This window comes from Homo sapiens, chromosome 1 (assembly GCF_000001405.40).
Source record: "Homo sapiens chromosome 1, GRCh38.p14 Primary Assembly".
NCBI lineage: Eukaryota > Metazoa > Chordata > Mammalia > Primates > Hominidae > Homo > Homo sapiens.
This window is the reverse complement of record NC_000001.11, coordinates 109,181,098-109,202,527: the sequence shown is the minus strand read 5'-3', so window position 1 is coordinate 109,202,527 and position 21,430 is coordinate 109,181,098. Positions and strand designations below refer to the sequence as shown.

The 21,430-nt window shown below is 47.5% G+C and overlaps 1 protein-coding gene across 8 annotated transcripts in view, besides 2 other annotated features; it reads right to left on the bottom strand.

Annotated features, from left to right (window-relative positions):
* Positions 1 to 21,430, bottom strand: part of ELAPOR1 (endosome-lysosome associated apoptosis and autophagy regulator 1) — a 92,667-nt gene that overhangs the window by 4,254 nt on the left and 66,983 nt on the right. For 4 of the 8 annotated variants that reach the window (XM_011541825.3, NM_020775.5, XM_011541827.3 and 1 more), the window contains 14 exons: positions 17,395 to 17,483; positions 14,174 to 14,351; positions 13,334 to 13,462; positions 12,846 to 12,936; positions 11,057 to 11,162; positions 10,665 to 10,802; positions 9,654 to 9,917; positions 7,934 to 8,107; positions 4,874 to 5,054; positions 4,453 to 4,549; positions 3,854 to 3,955; positions 2,548 to 2,674; positions 2,291 to 2,469; positions 1,628 to 1,793 (listed from right to left, as the gene is read on the bottom strand). In XM_011541825.3, the coding sequence (XP_011540127.1) occupies positions 1,628 to 1,793; positions 2,291 to 2,469; positions 2,548 to 2,674; positions 3,854 to 3,955; positions 4,453 to 4,549; positions 4,874 to 5,054; positions 7,934 to 8,107; positions 9,654 to 9,917; positions 10,665 to 10,802; positions 11,057 to 11,162; positions 12,846 to 12,936; positions 13,334 to 13,462; positions 14,174 to 14,351; positions 17,395 to 17,483 (2,021 nt within the window). Of the gene's footprint in view, positions 1 to 989; positions 1,210 to 1,627; positions 1,794 to 2,290; positions 2,470 to 2,547; positions 2,675 to 3,853; positions 3,956 to 4,452; positions 4,550 to 4,873; positions 5,055 to 7,933; positions 8,108 to 9,653; positions 9,918 to 10,664; positions 10,803 to 11,056; positions 11,163 to 12,845; positions 12,937 to 13,333; positions 13,463 to 14,173; positions 14,352 to 14,857; positions 15,980 to 17,394; positions 17,484 to 21,430 lie in introns of those variants that run through there. The other 4 variants (NM_001267048.2, XM_047426133.1, XM_011541826.4 and 1 more) reach the window with 3 other exon arrangements.
* Positions 3,992 to 5,191: an enhancer, noted in NCBI's record as "CDK7 strongly-dependent group 2 enhancer chr1:109739959-109741158 (GRCh37/hg19 assembly coordinates)". NCBI's record gives its function as "activates an origin of replication core promoter dependent on BRD2, BRD4, P300/CBP, MED14 and CDK7 cofactors, with strong dependence on CDK7, by STARR-seq in HCT116 cells {active_cell/tissue: HCT116}" and the evidence as "EXISTENCE:reporter gene assay evidence [ECO:0000049][PMID:35650434]".
* Positions 8,404 to 8,613: an enhancer, noted in NCBI's record as "active region_1436". NCBI's record gives its function as "activates an Ori minimal core promoter by ATAC-STARR-seq in GM12878 lymphoblastoid cells {active_cell/tissue: GM12878}" and the evidence as "EXISTENCE:reporter gene assay evidence [ECO:0000049][PMID:35858748]".

Here is a 21,430-nt window from a genome sequence, read left to right as displayed (position 1 = left end):
AGAGGTTGCAGTAAGCCAAGATCATGCCACTGCACTCCAGCCTGGGCAACAAGAGCGAAACTCTGTCTCAAAAAAAAAAAAATTTTTTTCTTTTAAAAAAATGTTTTTGGCCAGGCACAGTGGCTCACACCTGTGATCCCAGCACTTTGGGAGGCCAAAGCAGGCAGATCACCTGAGGTCAGGAGTTCAAGACCAGCCTGGCCAACATGGTGAAACCCTGTCTCTACTAAAAATACAAAAAAAAAAAATTAGCCAGGTGTGATGGCAAGCACCTGTAATCCCAGCATCTAGGGAGGCTAAGGCAGGAGAACCACTTGAACCTGGGAGGTGGAGGTTGCAGTGAGCTGAGATCATGCCACTGCACTCCAGCCTGGGAGACAGAGCAACACTCCGTCTCAATAAATAAATAAATAAATACATGTTTTTTAGAGACAGGGTCTCGCTCTGTTGCCCAGGCTGGAGTGCAATGGCACAATCATAGTTCAGTGCAGCCTCCAACTCCTGGGCTCAAGTGATCCTCCCACCTCAGCCTCCCAAGTAGCTGAGACTACTGGCATGCTCCACAACACCCAGCTGATTGTTTTTTATTTTGTAGAGATGGGGTCTTCCTATGTTGTCTAGGCTGATCTTGAACTCCCAGCCTCAAGAGATCCTCCAGCCTGGGCCTCCCAAAGTGCTGGGATTACAGGCATGAGCCAAAAATCTTAAAAATCCCCTGCTTTGCACCTTTGCTGAATTCTAGCAGTCCCAGATAGACTCAAGAGTCCCAGGGTGAACTGTTCTCCCATTCATTTAAAAAAAAAGAAATCGCAGTCTAAGGAGGCCAAGGGAGTCTCCCTAGCAGGTCAGCACAAAGGAAACAAGACTTAGCAATCTAAACACCCAAGCACGGTCCTTTCTTCACCACCTCCCAATACCCTCCTCCCTCTTTCCGCCCTCCCCACCCACTCCTATTGGGATGAACTGGTTCAGAGCAGTAGTCAGGTATGGGCACTGGCAGAGTTGTGCTGCAGAGGACTATAGCCCTGGAGGACCTGCTTGTATGCTGTCTGCTGGCCCCACACCCAGTGACAGTATTGTCTGTATTGCATTTATAAGCTTCATACTCACCCACCCACACAAAGCCAGCCCTCCCAGCTCAGAATTGCTCAGTGGGGAACAGCTGAGACTGAACTATGATTCAGCTCCCAAAGGACTGGACCCAGACACCTGGAAGACAGCACCCCCCACTGGTCAAAGGAGAGCCTGACTTCTATCAGAAGTTGATCCCAGAGATCACCTTTTCCCTTTTCAGTGAAAATAAAAAAAGGAGTAGGGGATGATTCTTACAACATAGATGGTTCAGTACTCCTTCTGGAAGTGAAAAGGCCCAAACAGTTCACTAACTGGAGTGCATGTTGAGAGAGAAGGAGCCTGATCAAGAGCAGCCTTGGGCCCCGGGGGAAAGAGTATTGGTGTAGAAACACAGAAGGAGAAGGCAGGATTTTCAGAGTGGGGAAATGGAATTGTATCGGGCGTGGGGAGCAGGGTGCCCATCCCTGAACGGTACAGGACCATTCAGTGTCTGAGGAGCAGTGTCTCCTCCAGCCCTCCAGGCTGACCTCAGTGCACTGGCCAGGACCCCTACCTTGGAGGTAAATGATTTGATCTTCCCAAAGAGTGACTTCTTGCTGGTAAAGATGAGGTCGTCCTCTACATCCTCGCCTTCCATGATGGCGCAGCTGTCAGCTGCTGGCAGGTCACAGTCCTTGAGAGTAGCATTCATCACCAGCTTGGAGTACTTGTACTCTAGTCTATAAAACAGGAGGATGGGAAAGACAAGATCCCAAAATGTGGGAATAAGGGGGAAAGAGGTAGAGAGGTTAGGCTATGAACAGGTCCTATTCCCATGCCATGGGTAAGGAGACTGAAGCATGGTAAAATGGTGTCAGGGCTGGGGTAATAGAAGGAATCTTAGTTCCCAGTTCAGTGATCTTTGTTCCTTAAGGCTGTCTGTTTCTATGATCTCAAAATTTAATGGAAATATCAAAATCATAATGTCATTCTCTGTACTGTTAATAATAGCAAACTGAGGATACTCTTTGCTTTTGAGAATTTAACATCCATTTATAGACTGCCACGTGGTACCATCCCTGTTCAGGAGTCAGGATAACCAAACCATGCACTGGATAAGTCACAGAGTCTGTAGCCAACTCCAGAGAAAAACCCCATTAATTTATACTTTCAGATATTCTCCCTGATCAATAATCCAACCCTGTCCATCCCCACACTCCAATACCGCAACATGTACTTTTGATTCTTTTTCCAAAAGTAGCAGGTCAAGACGGTGAGCAGGATGGCAGTACAGGTGCCTGCAGAGATGCCCACTTTCAGCCAGAAATCTATGGTTTTGCAGATGGTGACTCTCTGCTCAGGCAGAGAAATGCCACCAGAGCATAGCTTGGGTTCTCGCCACACGTAAGTAGTCTTCTGTTGGGGAGAAAAACAAGGAACTCAGATCTCCCATTCCCTTCTCTCATGGAAGTGCCCGATCAGAGGGAAACCCACCTGGATCCCAGCCACACAGCTGCTGACGATAGCATGGTAGTCAGCCACTGAGCAGAGCGGGCAAGCAGCCGCGCTCTCCCACAGGAAGTGGAAGTTGCAGCCATCACAGGTCCCATCCGAGCACGTTCTAGCAAAGCAGAAAAGAGACCTGAGCTCTCACTCGCTGGAGGGGTGGGGAAGATCTGGTTGGAAGCCTGTTGTCTCATAGCTTGCCTGATTTACCCTCTCCCTGCCCAAACCATTAGCCCTACCAGGATCCTTCCAACTAGTCCTTAACACAGGTTTTGATCTCTGATTTCACTGATAAGAGGCCTTCCTGGCCTCCAGTGGGCTCCCCACCCTCTGCCCGTTTATGTTTTTGCTGACATCTTATGAGAGCTATTGTAAGGTGTCTGAGCTCCAGCATGGCTGTCTCATCAACCCCTTTGAGGTTCCTGTCCTCCCCACAGACTTGTGACATTTTGCAATAGCCACTTTGATGCAGCTTCCTCGGGGTGGGATTGGAGTTGAGGTGGGGTTCAGGAATGAACTTCCGGTATGGATACCTGTTATGTACTTTACTGTGATGTTTACAATGGCAAGAACAGGGATTTGACACTCAGACACCACTACTGGGTCAAGACGCCCTGCTTTGCTCCCCATCTCCCCAGTCAGTTTAGGCGCAGCATATCCAAAACGTCTTCCTCAAGACGCTAGTGCCCGTCAAGATGTTAGCTGCTGTTATGCGGGGAGGGGAGGGGGTGTCCTGTGGTCATATTCATTTAGAAATTTTTGATTTAGTTCACTCAGCTATTAACCTCAGAACTGGGTATTTTCGTTGCAGAGAGATTCCTAGGATCCCTAAACCTTTACTAATCCTCATAATAGCCAGAGATCATGAAACGTCCTAAAGTCTCCTTGTCTCATTTAATCCTCAAAACAACCCGCTGAGGGAATTTAGCATTATGCCCATTTTTACAGATATGGAAAAAAGAGGCCTAAAGAAGGTAAGAAATGCATCCATGATAACATAGCTGGTTAGTGGAGGAGATGATTCAACCTGGCTCTCAGCCGAGCTGTTGGTTACCATGCTACGCAGCTGCTGCCTTAATGGACCAGGAATATGAGAATAGCTTTCACTCTTCCTTCTACCCCATTCTTGCCATATGAAGACTGAGGGTCTGGGGCCATGACTGTGCCCCTAAGCACCCATTAATGGATCTCAAACTCTTTTCTTTTTTGCTCTTTTTCAGTAATCTCTGGATCTCAGGATGGAATGACTTCAAGGGAGATTTTGGCCTTTGTTACATCCCTTTGCAGGGCTTACCCTGGCAGCAGCAAACTTCCAGGGACAGTTTTCTGTGGACTGCACCTGACGCGGATGGTGGTTGATCTCCCAGAACTGCAGGACTGGGTCACATCATTGGACCTGCAGAGAAAGCCAGCCCCCATGAGGGAATGAGTCACTCAGCTGTGTTATTGGACAGCCACCAAGAGAAATCCGCATGGAGCAATTCCCTTGCTGGGGAAGTCAGGACTTGGGCTTTAGCCTGGCACACAGGGAGTGCACAGGCCTTGGTTTATACGTGGAAAGGGTGGGGATCAACAATATGTAGTCAAGGGGGAAATGCCCTGGTTTAGGAAAGTCATGGCTAGCATACACTGGAGCCTGCTTAGGCTGGAAGGGAAGTCCACTGCAGATCATCCAATATTTCTCCTTGCCTCTAGGGCAGATCTGCTCCAGTAATATCCAGGAAGCTGGGATCAGGAACTCCCAGCCCTTAGCTATCATGACTGGGCAGATCTGCTAGACCTCAGACATGTTCTGGCTTGATAAGCAGTAGGTGGCTAGAGAGGGAGGGATGCAGCAGAAATTATGGAGGAGTCCTAGGTTTCACTTGCATTAGCCTAGCCTCTCATCTTCACCTATAAAAGAAGATCACGTCCGGTATTCCCAAGGACTCCAGGTGGAAAAGTTCAGCTGGGGAGGTGATTCCATCCAGAGTCATATCTGTTGTCACCCCTGCCAAATTAGAGCTCCTAATTAGTTCTCACTAGTAGCATTAGCTGGCAACCACTTCAATTCTTCCAATACCTGTCAACATCCAACCTCACTTCATCTCATCACATCCCTGAGTGGCTTATGAAAGGGTGAAACAAGGGTTTGTCAGAGTCCCTGGGAGCACTTTGCACACAGAGTGGAATAGAAAACACAGGTCAAGAGGTTGGGCCCCTCATGTGGGGCCTTTTACCTCCCAGACTGGTAACCTCACACTCTCTTACACATACACACACACACACACACACACACACTCTCAAACAAGGCTGAGGCAGCGGAGTTACTCACCAATAAGTCGATCAGCAAGGCTGACAGGCTGTGAGGAAACCCCGGCCTTGTAGCCTGTCACCTCTGGGGGGATGATGACTGCCTGGCAGACGTAGGCTGTGATAGATTTGGAGAACCCTGACTCACCCTCAGGAATCCGGAGGTCAGTGACATTGTCGGTGCACACAGACATTTTCCTACCCTGGTTGGGGAGTGGGGAGGAAGAAGTAGGAAGAAGTGAGTGGTCACAGAGGAATTCCCAGAAGGGAATAGGGAAGGCTTTTTTACATCTAAATTTTCAGCGTTTCAATGGTATGTTGTAGGGGAATGATTCATCCCAGGTCTAATGACGAGACAGATTTGATTTTTTTGTTTTGTTTTGTCTTTTTGAGACAGAGTCTTGATCTATTGCCCGGGCTGGAGTGCAATGGTGCAATCATAGCTCACTAAAGCCTTGAACTCCTGGGCTCAAGTGATCCTCCTGCCTCAGCCTCCTAAGTAGCTGGAACCGCAGGTTAATTTTTTTTTTTTTTTTTCGTAAAGATAGGGCCTCTCTGTGTTGTTCAGGCTGGTCTTGAACTCCTGGGCTCAAGCAATCTTCCTGCCTCAGTCTCCCAGAGTGTTGGGATTACAGGGGTGAGCCACTGTGCCCAGTCAACATTTTCAATGTTATAAATTTTATTATAAATGGTGCTGGCTGGGTGCAGTGACTCACACCTGTAATCCCAGCACTTCGGAAGGCCGAGGCAGGTGGATCATGAGGTCAAGAGATTGAGACCATCCTGGCCAACGTGGTGAAACCCCGTCTTTACTAAAAACACAAAAATTAGCTGGACGTGCTGGCGCATGCCTGTAGTCCCAGCTACTCGGGAGGCTGAGGCAGGAGAATCGCTTCAACCTGGGAGGCGGAGGTTGCAGTGAGCAGAGATCGTGCCACTGCACTCTAGCCTGGCAAAAGAGTGAGACTCCACCTCAAAAAAAAAAAAAGTGCTAAATCTGGTGTCTCAGCCTTTTTTTTTTTTTCTAGATTGTAGGAAGTAGATGAGCTTGAAAACTGAAGAAAACCTTTACATTACAATAAAATAGAGTTCTTTTGTCTTTGAACTAAGGATCTATCGTGTGGCAGTACATCATAAGCATTTCTAAACAGGAAAGGAGTAGATAAAAAAATACACCATTTCCCCAAATTCCCCACCTTCATTGCTCTCCATAATTCACTGAATGACACTTTTGCTACATGAAGCCTGCTTTAATCAGTCTTATTTCCTAAGTGATCATGACCTGTTACTTCTGAGGCTTCATTTTAACTTCTTCGAAGACTTCTGAAAACAAGATAGAGACACCTATCTCTAATCTTTCATAGATTAGTTTATTTCTTGACATGTTCTCTTTATAAACACCCATCGACTTCTTTGCATGCTGCAGAAGATGGGTCAGAGCTCTATGATGTAAAGGCCTTACCACCAACAGAGTCAAAGACTAGATGCTCAAGATGCTCTTTATATTGTCACTTTTTTTTTTAGATGGAGTCTTGCTGTGTTGTCCAGGCTGGAGTGCAGTGGCATGATCTTGGCTCACTGCAATCTCCGCCCCCTGGGTTCAAGTAATTCTCCTGCCTCAGCCTCCCGAGTAGCTGGGATTACAGATGTGTGCCACCATGCCGGGCTAATTTTTGTATTTTTAGTAGAAACAGGGTTTCACCATGTTGACCAGGCTGGTCTCGAACTCCAGACCTCAGGTGATCTGCCTGCCTTGGCCTCCAAATTGCTGGGATTACAGGCGTGAGCCACCATGCCCAGCCTCTTTTGTAACATTTGAAATGAACTTTCCAACTGCTAATTGTGGCTTGTTGCAATTTAATCAAGTGCAGTGGTGGGATTAACCTTTGCATTTCTGCCTTTGAATTTTGGATCTGAAATATTTGCAGCAGCATGAAATGGCTGATGGTGACAATCTTTCCTTATAAAGCATTTCATGTTACTTTCTTTCATACTGTCAGCAAAGAGACGTGTGGATGAACTAGAAACAGTTGATTTTATCCAGCCTCTAGAAAACAAGCGACAAATGCAGTGATTGCTGAAGACTGCTTTTTCAAGCAAGGGAAAAAAACCTTTCCTTCTGCATATTTCTGGGGTTTTTTTTGTTTGTTTTGTTTTTTGCTTTTTTGTTTTTTTTTTTTTTTGAGACGGAGTCTCACTCTGTCGCCCAGGCTGGAGTGTAGTGGCGTGATCTCCGCTCACTGCAAGCTCCGCCTGCCAGGTTTATGCCATTGTCCTGCCTCAGCCTCCTGAGTAGCTGGGACTACAGGTGCCCGCCACCACGCCCGGCTAATTTTTTTGTATTTTTAGTAGAGACAGGGTTTCACCGTGTTAGCCAGAATGGTCTCGATCTCCTGACCTCATGATCCACCCACCTAGGCCTCCCAAAGTGCTGGGTTTACAGGCGTGAGCCACCGCGCCTAGCCTTCCTCCTGCATATTTTTAAATAGACTCATTTTGAGGAAATAAAGGTCAGGTAAAAGAACACCTTATTTTATTTTATTTTATTGATTTTTTATTATTTTTCTGAGATGAAGTTTCACCTTTTTGCCCAGGCTGGAGTGCAATGGCGCAATCTCAGCTCACTGCAACCTCCACCTCTCAGGTTCAAGCGATTCTCCTGCCTCAGCCTCTCGAGTAGCTGGGATTACAGGCATGCACCACCACGCCCAGCTAATTTTTTTGTATTTTTAGTAGAGACGGGGTTTCTCCATATTGGTCAGGCTGGTCTCGAACTCCCCACCTCAGGTGATCCGCCCGTCTCGGCCTCCCAAAGTGCTGGGATTACAGGCGTGAGCCACCGCACCAGGCACCCGGCAAGAACACATTATTTTAAATATCTTTATTTTCTTAAGTGTTTATAATCCTGATTATTTAATTTTAGGGGAAAAAGTCCTCAGGGAGAATAATATGTAAAAACCTTTGAAGCTCCTCAACCCCCTGCTACCTGAAGGATTTCTGGTTTTCTCCTGTGTCTGTCTCTGGCTTCTGATCCATGGGCCTCCCCCATTCAATTTTCACCCTGTCAACTGGTATACCTTACCTGGTTTCCACAGAGACTGAGGGTAAAGTGATGGAAGTATTTCAGCCCTTTGGAAGTGAAGCTTGGCCCTCCAGCAAGAGTGACAGTGTTTGCCAAAGCGGAGAAGTTGTAGTTGAAAGTCCTGGTCGGAGTGTTGCGTGAGAAGGTGCAATCGTTGTAGCACAGAGAGTGGATCTGAGGGGGAGAGGGACGGGTCGGGCCAGCTGGTCAGGAAGGGCCTTGAGGGCCTGCAGCCAAGAGTAGCAGTTTTCTCCCCCGTCTGGTCCCGCCCAAATGGGGTCAAGAGGAGGAAGAAAGGATTAGGAGTGGCTAGTAAAAGAAGTGAAACAGGCACTAGTGGGATTTATGTACATTTGCCATTCAATTATTAGCACATATATGATGGACAAACCTAAATCTGTTATTGTTCAGAAGGGAGTTTGGACAAATTCTATAGCCTTATAACCCTGTGCCTAGATTATAGAAGCCTCTCAAGACACAAGAGGATCCTTTTTACTTTCCAGCAGAAGACAATGAGGCACTAACCAGAAAAGGGTATCTGAGATGGGAGAAGAGAAACTTTTCTTGCTCCCTCCTCACCCCCTCACAGTGCAAAACTCACTGAACTCTGCTTCCTGTTTCTCAGGTTCTCTGTAGGAAACTGAACTCCGAAAGGGGCTTTTCTTCCCATAAACCCATTCATTGCTCTGTTTTAGGGTCACCATTCAGCGGTAGCCGCACACAACTGTCATTCCCTCCCACAGCAGCAGAGGGAGCTCCAGGGAAGGAAGGTTGTGGCAAAAGTCCAGGGTACCCGAAAGAGGTTGCCAGGAGTCTGTAGAATCGCTGCACTTATTGCACAGATGAACTAGGCAACGTTTGCAGAGTACATATTGATAGTGCTTTACAGATGTATGTGCATGTAGTTGTGATCAGTAAAATGCAAATTCATTTAAAAGCATCGATTAATATCTAAAAGCTTTTAGTCATAAGTACTTCTCAGATGCAGAAAGTACATGGGGGCAACAACACTGCTTATCCACTTTATTTATTTATTAGTTTTTTAATGTGCCTTTATTTTTATTTATTTTTTTAATTAGAGACAGGGTCTTGCTCTGTCACCCAGGCTGGAGTGCAGTGGCACAATCACGGCTCATTACAACCTTGAACCCCGGGGCTCAAGTGATCTTCCCACCTCAGCCCCCTAAAGTGTTGGGATTACAGATGTGAGCCACTGCACCCAGCTTTTTTCCACTTAGGAAAGGAATCCTTATACTTGTAAAGCTGAGAAGCCACTGGGATAGAAGACAGCAATGCCAGTTATCATATGTCCCAGCAATGGTTGGGTTTCTATCTTTCCAAAGAAGGGGCAGATTTCCATAATAACAGGCTGGATTGAACATTTTTGAATATAAGCCACAGGCCTCACCCCACTGTTCCTTCCCTTTAGGTCTCTGCACAGATGCCAAATAACCCTCTGGACCAGACAGTCACCAACCTCTCTTACCTGCCAACTAAAGAGGAGACTTGTCAGTGACTGAGTCCTGGACCCTGGAAATTAAGCCCTGCTAACCCTCCACAGTCACAGCCTGGATGGGTGTCCTCCAGGACTCCAACCTAGGAGTATGCTAGGGGGAGCACTCGGGTATCAGCCTCTCAAGAACCCTACCCAGGACCCAGCATCTTCTGAGGTCATCCAAGCAGAGGGTCAGGTTTAGGATGCATGCCAGACTACAGGTACCTTGTTGTTCTTGGTCCCTGGACCACAGGGCACACAGGCCTGGACACCATAAGGCTGGTGGGCTTTCAGAATTGTGTTAGTGGGGCAGGAGTGGCAGGTTCCTGAATCTCGGTCAATATAGTAACCAGCAGGACAAGAGGTGCAGGAGGAGCCCACATCAGAGGCTTCTAGGGCACAGGGACGGCAGTAGGAGGCCACACCATTCATAACATTGGTGACATTGATGGAGTAGATCTTGGCAACGTCATTGGTGTACTTCCTGCTCTGGAGACAAGGAAACAAGAGGGGAGAGGGGAGAGGCCTGAGACAGCAGCAACAATTGAGGCCTCTAGAAAGAGCAAGGTACTTAATCTTCTATCCTGTGATACTTAAGAAGAATCTGAGAAGCATCTGACTCTTTTTACTCACTTACCAGTAGCTCTTCGTGTGCATTTGATGTCATTTTAAAATGAGACTGAACCATTTATAGGACATATAAAAATGTTAAGTACCATGGGGAAAATATAATATATACAGTTTTATGAAAAAAGCAAGTCTTTTCCTTATAAAAGAGAAAAAAATGTACTTGTGCAGAAACAAACAGTGTATAGGAGATTGTCCAGATGTTAACTGGTTTATCTCTGAGTAGTAGGATTATGGCTGATTTTATTTCTTATTTTTGTTTATTTTTATTTTCTGTGTCTTCTGCAATGAGCCTGTATTCCTTTGAGTTAAGAAACTAAAACCAGAGTTGTTATTATTAAAAACAACAACAAGTCTGGTAACACATGTATCAGGGCAGGGACTACAAGGAGGGCCAACTTATTTCTTATGGTGTCATCTTTCCAGGAAGTCAGCTGGACAAGACTAGGTGGTCCTCAGAGGGCTGGGTTAGGCAGTTTTCTGCTTGACCCCCTGAGATCCTTCTAACCCTCAGATTCTGAACTTCACACTCATACTTAAGCTAATGCTAGGAGTCCTCCTGGGTTCAGAGGGTCTCTCCTGGGGGTCTGAGGAAGGGGAGGAACTTACTGCCTCATGAAAAGTGGTCCTCTGGAAGGCCCAGGTGAAGCTCGTGGTAGTGTTCTCCTCAATGATGTAGGTATAGGACTGTTTGCCTTTGGAACCTTTCCACGTCTCCACAGGAGTGTTGGTCCTAGAATTCACACCCTGAACCCAGGACAGACAAGTGAAGCGGGTGCGATGGCCAGAGGGGAAGTGGGTGCCCATGTGGCTGCCATCCCAGGTGCCATCACGGTTGGTGAGACCCTTGTTAAACTGTGAAGTCCCTGCTGGTCAGTCTGGGCCTTTCCTCTGTGGAATCACTACAAGGGGGGGTGTCAGTCACGTGGACACACCAATGGGGCAGATGGGGCTAACCCTCCCCTGGAGGCCCTCTAGCGGGCAAAGAAAGGAAAACGTACCACCATGAAGTAGAGCTCACAGTTCACAGAACAGAGGGTCTCAAAGACAAATGTGATTCTGGCCACCTCTTTATTCTCTGTGTCTGCCATCACCGACTGCGGAGGTCTGTAGGGGCAGAAATTAAAAGTCAGTTCTAAAGGCCAGGCAGTGCTTATTGAAGAGCCCAGACAACAGCAGAGCGTCTGCTGGGGGACAGGGTTAAGTTCTGAGTATGATGGAAAGCGTGTGGACTAAATCCAATTCTGCCCTCCTAGCTATGTGACCTTGACCTAGCCAAACCACGGTTTCCTTATCTGTAAAATGGAGGTGATGAAATCTCTTTCTTACCTACCCCCCATCATCGCGGGGAGACCTGAAGGCATGACAGATGTGGCGGTCCTTTATAAAATGCTGTATCACCTCACTAGCAGAATATGGTCCACAGACCAGCAACATGGCCATCTCCCAGAGTTTATTAGAACTGCAGAACCTCAGGCTCCTCCCAGGCCCAGTGAATCAGAATCTGCATGTTAATACGATTCCCAGGCGATTCGTGTGCACATTTATGTTTGAGAAGCACGTCTATCATAAGACTGTAAATTGTTGACATTTACTCAGCAGCTGTCTCTCCAGCACTGGGGAGCTTTGCCGGGGTTAAAGGAGCAGAATTTGTGATCCAGCAAAGTCCTCCGTTTGGTCCTACTTTTGGGAAAGAGAGAGCCATGCCCAAGCGGGCTGGGGTAGTAGTGGGGATGGGGGATGAGGCAACACTTTACTATGACGATCAGATTTGCAAATTGGAAAGTACTTTTTGAATGTTATTCCAAAAAAAGCCTAAAAAGTTTGCTCACCTTGCAAACACAGGCTTCATTCATCTGGCTAGCTCTGAGTAATGTGTGTTAAGGGAAGGCAAACTGAGCAACATCCCAGGGATGGGAAGCAGGGACCTCGAAGAAGGAAATGAAGGTGTCAGACTGGCACTAGGGAAGCATATTCAGTGCCTGCTTCTTATCTTTAGAGCACATATGGGCAGAAGAGTTCACTTTGGCCTTGGAAATTCATTCACGGCTTTCCTTTTGGCTTTAGCCATTTGCCTGAATTCTGAGGACCTCCAGTTCTCAGCTTATCTCTATGCAGCTGTGTTAACCAGCGGGCTGGAAAAGCCATCTGAACCTCAGTTAGTCTTAAATCACACACTGTTTTTATGGATGAGGGGCCCGAAGCCTGAACAGGTGAAGTGACTTTTCCTAAGGTCGCACGGCCAGTAAGCGGCAAAGCACAAGTGCCCTGTCTTCCAGTCTGGTGTTCCTTCCACCACACCACACTGCCAGGAGGTGTGTGTGTGTGTGTGCGTGTTTGTTTGTTTGTTTAGTGGGAAACAAATTTCGTGTTGCCCTAGGTCTTCCTGGGATATGGGGACAAATACAGTAAGAATAATCCTTCCCAATCTTCTTGCCCCAAATAAAGATGAACTGTCTATGGGCATTTCTGACCCCATTATTTTTTATTTTTATTTTTTTTCTAATCTTAAGTGATGCTGTGAGGAGGAAGAATTTGAATAGCACGTGACTAATGGCTGGGAGAAGCTATACGGGAGAGAGAGCAGTCGGTAAATCAACATGGGCAGCAACTTGAAAAACGTGATAGCATTGGGTTACCTCGGTCAAACTGTACCCTCTGTTCTCAACTGACATTTGAAATGAAATGAAACACAACCCCGGAAGCCCTCTCCTCTACAATATTCCAAAATACGTGGGATTCGGATATGGCCAAGCTGGCCTGGACTCCCCTGGGCTTTGGATTCCTCACCTAAATCCTGGCACAACCAGAGTGAGAATCATGAAGTCATTGTCTGAGGCTCCAGCAGCTGTGTAAATGTGATCACCAGCCACCTCCCAGCCTGAAAAGGAAAGAGGAGAGTTAATGCCTTGTGCTCTTGGGTGCAAGGCAAATGTGCACCCAGATGACACTCTGGAAGGGAGGTTTGACACCATCTTTTGAGGCGCCCAGAACCACCACTGAACATGAACCGTGTTACTTATCCTGCCACTTTGGTCAAAAACCCTGAAGCTCTCAGAGCAAGACCTTTGAAGTGCACGCTCATGTTTCTAGCTCTGTTCCTTCCTCTAAAGCTGTCTTGGCAGAACATATGTCCATGAGGAGTGGAACTTTCAAGGGAATGCATGACATGGTTAGCTTATTTTTCTCAGACATCACTATTATGAAGAAATGTGAAGTTGGAAGAACTGAGGGTGTGCAGGGAGCTGACAGCTCATGGCACAGGGAGAGGCAATTACCTGTCATGCCCTTGTACTCGAAGTTGATCCCACTGAGAACGGTCGTTTCCATGTTTGTGGGCAGCGTGTTCCACCATTTGTATTCAAATCCCACAGCAGGTTCAGTCCCTGCAGGGCAGCGGGTACAGTCTGGGGAACCACAAACAAGATCCATGCATTCAGTGGGAAGGCTGCAGTCACTCTGACTGGAGCTGCTGCCACACAGACAAGTTGCAACAGTAGCGGGCAGCCCAGAAGCCTGGCTGCTGAGTACTGCTGCAGGAAGTTGTATCAAGTTGACTCAAAAACATTCTGACAATGTATTTAACTCAAGATGTAAACACTGAGCCTTCATTCCAATATGCCAACCATCCTATTTGCCCACCCCAATTTCCATTTCAAAACTTAAATGTACCTTCTAGTCTGATACATATAGTTCATATTATTGTCATATTATCATTAAATGCTTTCATTTTAACAGGTACTCAAATCCCCCCAAGGCAGCATGGCTTATAGGTTTTGGTTGTGTGGGGTTGGTCATCCCAGCCCTGTAAGCCTAGTCAGCATCTCTGCCATATGCTGGAAGCCCTGCTTTGAGGATTGGGCACCTTCAGTCCTGAGTCACATTTGCAGTTGGAGCAAGGAGGAAGGAAGGCAGCCTCAAGTATGACTCTGACCTGCAGACGAGGCCAGCCCTGACCTCTCTTCTCCTGAATTTAGTCCTCAAAGGTGGCCTGGTCCTTATTCCTTACTGCCTCCCTTGGAAGGGCAGAGTCTGCATTCAGCTGGCCACTGTTAGTGCCCACACAGCCCACCCACACAGTCGATGTGCTGCAGAGAGTGGGGTGGTGAGGAGGTTACCTGAGCCATTGGAGTAGGAACCATATGGGCAGGGCTGGCAGGTGCTGTTGTTGGTTTTGAAGAAGCCTGGGTTGCAGGGTGGGCAGTGGGTCTTCACACCAGAGGCAGGCAGCTTCACTGCCCCCTCAAGGTCCTCGCTACAGATTTTCGGCTTGGCCCATTTGTACATGAGTTGTGTCTGCAGAAATGGATTAAGCACAACTCAGCCTGTGTGAGATTTAGGACATCTTTGGGACTCTACCTTGAGGATAGGGGCTGGGGGCAGAGATCCAGATTCTGGGCCAGGTAAGAGCTCCTCTGGGGTGGGGAACTTTGTGTGGCTCACGGATGTATCCCAAGCACCTAGCCCAGTGCCTGAGTCATGGTTGTGTTCAATCACTATCTGCCAAATGAATGTTGCCTGGGTGACAAGGAATAGCTCTAATGAAGACTTTATGACAGAGAATGTGGGACCAGTTGTCTTAGAGAAAGCTCCGATTCCACTGTAGAATCTTATTGCTACCAAGGTCACAGGAAAAGCAGCTGGTGAAAATCCCAGAACACAGAAAGGCACAAGGGTGGAGGTGGCTCAGATGTCCCCCGGGGACTGAGGGGGTGGCTGAGATGTCCCCACTTATTTTTTGAGTGGTACATTCTTTGCTCTTTTATTTATTGGGTAAATCCTAATGCATCTATGTGCCAGACCTGGTGTCTCAGAGATGAATGAAACATGGCCCCTGCATTGGGTACAGAAGTGGAGATGACCCGCAGGAGACCCCGGCTGAGTCAGGGGTGAAGGTGGGCAGCTCCATTCTTCCCATGTGGCCCTCAGATCGAGTCACAGACAAAAACGTGCCCTTATAGGTTGAACTGAGGGGTTGATGAACATGATCTGTGCAGATACCATACATATGAAAAGAAGGATGAATAAGGCCTCTGTCCATATTTTTCAAGATAAGAAACAAGTCCTTAAGGAGGGACACAGACTGCCTTAACTGATGGGGAGCCCTGGGCTCCTCCTTCCCCTGCTCAGCTCGGCCCTCTTCCCTGCGGAGGGCTGCGACAGCCAGAGCCCCAGGCTTGAACCTCACCTGCCTCCTGTGAGTCTCAGGGAGAGGAGAGTCCTAGGAGCTGGCAAACTGTCTCGGGCCAGCTCTTGGAGCAGCACATTCACTGACCCCAATGGATGGGCCATCCTGGTCCCTGAGAAACAACTGAGGCACAGCCAAGGTCAGAAATGTAATCATAGGAGCCAGCTCGAGGTGTGTCCCTTGATTTTAAAATACTGTTCAGAAGACAAACTCAATCACCAGACTGAGCAGAACCAGTGCGGGAATGAGGCACAAAGCAGAAGTCTGCAAGGAACAGCTGGGGAATGCATGTTCATGCGCACTCCTGAAAGCACACGCTTCAGTGCTCCTCCTCTGAGCTGGGCCTTGGCTGTGCTGCAAGGCGGGAACACAGGCTTTGGTCTGACCCAGCATCTAAAGGCCCCGGCAGTGGTCAGGCCAAGGCAGACACCCGGGCTTTCAGGCAGCAAGCACGGTACTGACCCAGAAGGCCTTGGCGTGAGCCCAGGGAGGGAAGAGAATGGGGCAGAAGGGAGGAAAGACAGCCACATTCAGTCACATGTTATGAACAGGAGGGAGAAGAGCAGCAGGATTAATTGTCTGCCTTTTATTAGTGAGTTGGCTGAGACCAAGAAAATGAAAATAAATGTTCACAAGGTCATACAGAATACCAGACACCACAGAACTGAGTCTAAGGTGCAACTGACAAGACACAGCCATTCTCTCTTGGCTGCTGGAGAAGGGGATGATGCCCCAAATACGTGGGGGAGGTGGTGTTGGTAAGAGATGACTGTGCAAAATATTCATTGTTAAGGACCAGACTTTAACCCATGCTTAGTTAGGAAAGGGAGAATTCAGTCAGCCGCCCAGCCAGCAAATGTTTATGCTCCCTAAGAGCCAAGCATCATGCTTAGTGCTGAGTGCAGAATGCCCAACTCCTAGTTCTATCCTCTTGAGAATCTCTAGCTTAGGGATACAGACAGCTCAGCCAGATCCTTCTCCGTGCACCTCAAGCCCTTCCCTGCTCACTTACACTGTTTCTCCACCCACCTGGCCCAGCTGCCGCCTCCTCTCCTGCTGTGTCTGCTGCCTGGAAAGCTCCACGGCTCCTCCCTCATCTCCTTCAGGTCTCTGCTCAAATGTCACCTCCTGAGAGGACATCCCTACCCTTCTAAAATAGTGGCACCACCCTCCTTCATTCTCTCTCTCCTAATCCTGGTTTTTTTTTTTCCTTCCTACCACTTACTACCATTTGCTATATTATATACCCATTTGTTGTCTATTATCTCTCTCTCCACTCCCTCCCCAACAAGAGTTAAGCTCCATAAGGGCTAGATGTTCCCTCAGTTTTGTTAAGTGATGCATGCCTAGCACCTAGCACCGTGCCTGGCACAGAGTCGCTCCTCGATAAATATTTGTTGACTGTTGAACAAATGGCCTCCTCTGAGAGGCTTTCTCTGCTGCCCCCACCCCAAGTCCTGGTCGCTTCTCTTCTGGGCTCCCCCAGTTCCCTGCACATCCCTCTGGTTGCCTTGACTGGGCCCGTTTTTCTCCTCTCTCCAGCCTCTCATACAGGACTGTGAGCTCCCTGGGGGCAGGAGCTTGTTTCAGTCGTCTCTGACTCCCCAGCCTATAGTGCCAGGCCTGACATATCAGTCAGCCTCAAAAAATGCTTGTTGACTCAGTGACAGTGTAGACTAGGAGGGAAAGTTCTTTTCTGAAGCAGAAAGCCTGGAGGAAAGAGAAGCAGCAGAAACGGAACAAGTCAGACCATAGGCAGGAATCCATTCCCCGTGCCAGCCCACAAAACAGTGCCGAGGGGGTGAGCCTGAAGAGCCCCGGGAGGACATTGTGTACGGACAGGCAGGCTCTGCCGGAGTGGCTCGGCAAATAGAAGAAACCAAGCAAGAGAGAATGAAGTGGGTTTTTGAAACAGAACATATGTGCATAAACAGTGAAACAAACGCTGCAAAAACAGTTTCTGACCGGAAAATGAATGAAGAGGTCTCGTTTTGCCCCCCACCCCACCTAGCCCTAGGGTCACCTCAAAGGTCTGTGGGGTTTTAACTAGTGCCAATGTCATTGACTGCTGAAGTTCCAAATGGTGGCAAACCTCAGGGAGTGGGAGACAGTCCATCTGGGGCTAAGGGGCTCCAAGACTGTACTACCCACCTCTCCGTTGGCATCGCAGGCCGTGTGTGTGTAGAAATAATCTTTGTCTGTGCAAGCTGGGCGCACGTTACAGGAAGAAGATCCTTTCTCTAAATTGCCAAAGCAAGAAGAAATATTTGGAGTTACATAAGAAAGCTGAGCTCCTGGCCTCTTCATGGCCCTGTGACTCCCAAGTCCCTGGGTGCATTGCCACACAAATATTGCCGGAAGTAGAAAATCCTGCACACTCACCCTTCCCCTTGTCTCAATAGTGTCATTTCCAGTTCCCCAACCCTGCTCAAGCTTCCCTTTGCACCTGTTCCAGGTGCTGATGAGAAACCACTGTTTGCCGCTTCCCGTCCCCCGCCCCATGGGGCAAGGGAGGGAGAAGTGGCCTGGCCAAAGGACCAGCAAGGAGGGTAGACGGAAACAGCTTCTTGCAGGTTAACCACTGCCAACCTAAGTTCCCTGAAACCTGGGGAGGTTCAGAGAGTTCACCATCTTCCAGGTGCCTTAGTGTCTTGACTCTGGGTGTGGTTTTTCTACTCCTGAAGTGTTGAAGTAAAACATGATTTTGCTTTCATACTCATTCCAAGCCTTTCTATGAATGTTCTAATATATGCCTAGAATGAAGGCCTTCCACCTTGGAAATTTCCTTTTCTTCATGCAATCATTCTACACAAACCAGGTTTGTAATTTCCTTGGACTCCACCTAACACATAAGGTTCTTCCCACTTGCCTCAACCCAAGCATCCCAACACTATCTTTATTATTATTATTATTGAGATGGAGTTTCACTCTTGTTGCCCAGGCTGGAGTGCAGTGGCACGATCTTGGCTCACTGCAACCTCCGCCTCCCAGGTTCAAGTGATTCTCCTGCCTCAGCTTCTTGAGTAGCTGGAATTACAGGCATGAGTCACCATGCCTGGCTAATTTTGTATTTTTAGTAGAGACGGAGTTTCTCCATGTTGGTCAGGCTGGTCTCGAACTCCTGACTTCAGGTGATCTGCCCTCCTCGGCCTCCCAAAGCGCTGGAATTACAGGGGTGAGCCACCGTGCCCGGCCTCTTTATTATTATTTTATTATTGTTATTTTTTAGAGACAGAGTCTTGTTCTGTTGCTGAGGCTGGACTGCAGTGGTACAATCTTAACTCACTGCAGCCTGGAACTCCTGGGCTCAAGCGATCCTCCCGCCTCCCGCACCAGCCCAACACTATCTTTAACTCTTGATTTATACCTAATGAAAAATGTTAACTGCTGGGCATGGTGGTTCATGCCTGTAATCCCAGCACTTTAGGATCTCTTGAGCCCAGGAGTTCAAGACCAGCCTGGGCAACATAGCAAACCCTGTCTCTACAAAAAATACAAAAATTAGCCGGGCGTGGTGGTGCAGGCCTATAGTCCCAGCTACTTGATGTTGAGGCAGGAGAATCACTTGAGTCCAGGAGGTTGAGGCTGCAGAGAGCCATGATCATGCCATTGCATTCTAGCCTGGGCAATGGAGAGAGACTCTGTTAGGAAGGAAGGAAGGAAGGAGGGAAGGATGGAAGGAAGGAAGGAAGGAAGGAAGGAAGGAAGGAAGGAAGGAAGGAAGGAAGGAAGGAAAAGAAAGAAAGAAGAAAAACGTGAACTATCAGTTTTCTTCTGCTCTCTGCATGTTCTCCTCCTTTCAATGTTAGCTCTGCTTTAACCCTGTGAACCTCTGGATAGTGAGAACTACTTCTATGAATTCATTTTTTAATTTTATTTTTTTCATTATTTCATCATAGGGTTTGTTTTCTTTTCTCTCTCTCTCTCTTTTTTTTGTTTTTTTTTTTTTTTTTTTTGGTAGAGACAGAGTCTCGCTATGTTGCCCAAGCTGGTCTTGAGCTCCTGGCTTCAGGCAATCCTCCCACCTCAGCCACCCACCCAAAGTGCTGGGATTACAGGCATGAGCCATTGTGCTTGACTCTCTCTTTAAAGCAGTGGGTTTAACTTTTTTTGATTTTAAAAACTCTTTTGAAAATTTGAAAAAAAGAGATGTTTCTCTCTACCTAGAAAAATATGCGTAATTCATACAAATAAAAACTTTTTGAAAGTTTTCTAGGGAATTTACTTCCTCCAGAATAAAAACAACTGCTTTATGAGGTGCACATTACAATACTGTTACTACTGCCACCACTACTTCGAATATGACTGCTGTGTCACCTGCAGATAAGCACTGAATAATGGTAAGAACTTCTCTCTCTTTATATTACCTGGCAAGCAGTATGGTGTAGTGGAATGAGATTTTTTTTTTTTTTTTTTTTGAGATGGAGTCTTGCTCTGTTGCCCAGGCTGGAGTGCAGTGGCACGATCTCGGCTCACTGCAAGCTCCGCCTCCCGGGTTCACGCCATTCTCCTGCCTCAGCCTTCCAAGTAGCTGGGACTACAGGCGCCCGCCACCATGCCTGGCTAATTTTTTGTATTTTTAGTAGAGACAGGGTTTCACCGTGTTAGCCAGGATGGTCTCGATCTGCTGACCTCGTGATCCGCCTGCCTTGGCCTCCCAAAGTGCTGGGATTACAGGTGTGAGCCACCGCTCCCGGCCTGGAATGAGATTTTAAGCTAGACGGATATGGGTTTGGATCCTGCTTCATCATTTAGCAGCTGTGTCACTTTAGGCAAGTTACTTAACCTCTCTGAGCCTCAGCCTTCTCATCTGTAGAACAGGAATAATAATATATACCTTGCTGGAGCCAGTACCTACCTGGCACATTGTAAGTAGATACTCACTAGATAGCAGTAACTATTATTACCTGCATGTTTGGGAATTATTATTATTATTATTATTATTATTATTTTTTGAGACAGAGTCTCGCTCTGTTGCCCAGGTTGGAGTGCAGTGGTGCCACCTCAGCTCACTGCAACCTCCGCCTCTCGGGTTCAAGTGATTCTCCTGCCTCAGCCTCCTGAGTAGCTGGGATTACAGGTGTGCACCACCACATCCAGCTAATTTTTGTATTTTTAGTAGAGATGGGATTTCACCATGTTGGTCAGCCTGGTTTCAAACTCCTGACCTCGTGATCTGCCTGCCTTAGCGTCCCAAAGTGCTAGGATTATGGGTGTGAGCCACCATGCCCAGCCGGGAATTATTTTTATTTGGGAGTAGTCACAGGAGAGTGAATAAGGATTAAAGGTCTCTTTACCTCCCTTTCAGTTAAGGGCTTATTTCTCAACTGATTCCTTCTTTTTCTCCAGGCACCACATGGGTTCGTAGATCAGATAATCTCCTAATTGCAGTCTTGTTGGCCTGAGCTGGAAAGTTCTCTCAACTGCACATCTCCATACCTCTTCTGTCTCTGTCTTATTAGGCTGGACAGGTGGGAACTACTGGCTGAGAAACAGTTGGGGTCTTCTCAGCTCATTTACTTGGTTACCAAGCAGGAGGCCCAATTCAGCACAGAGGGACCCATGGACTCCTGCTTTTGACTGACTTGGCCAGGAAAAATGTGGGGAGAGAGGCTGAAAACGTGGGAAGGTGCCAATTCTTAGGTCTAGCAAAGTACAAGTTATGTGTTAGAAAATGCATTCTACACCAAGACCTTTCTCTGCTTGTCAAATATTTGCTCAATCTGACATCCTAGCTCTGGGTTTTAGCAAAAATGGCTCAGCTGTTTACACACTGATCCCTGTTAAGGTGGTTTTAATAAATGATTAACCAAAATGCTGAGACCAACCTCCTTTCCCAGCTTGGGTTTCATCAAAGTGTTTAAGTTGGATGCTAGTCAAGTTTGGAAGATGGGCCTCTGTGTTTGGTTGAGGGAGTGAAAAGTGACTTAAGTAGGATTGGCCCTGGGCAAAACTGTAAGAAGATAAAGTTTATCTCAGGGGCTCCAACTCCTCTTTCTGCACCTGCCTCCTCCTTTCAATATCCCCCCACCTCCAGGAGTACAATGTTCTCACTGGGATCTGTTTTATCAAAGTAAAACATTTCTCCTGAGGGTTTCAGTACTGAATGGACACAGGCCCGGGTCAGACAGCAGCTCATGCTTTTGTGAAGCTCCTCAGTGTCGCTGAGCTTCTCTTTCTTCCTCGG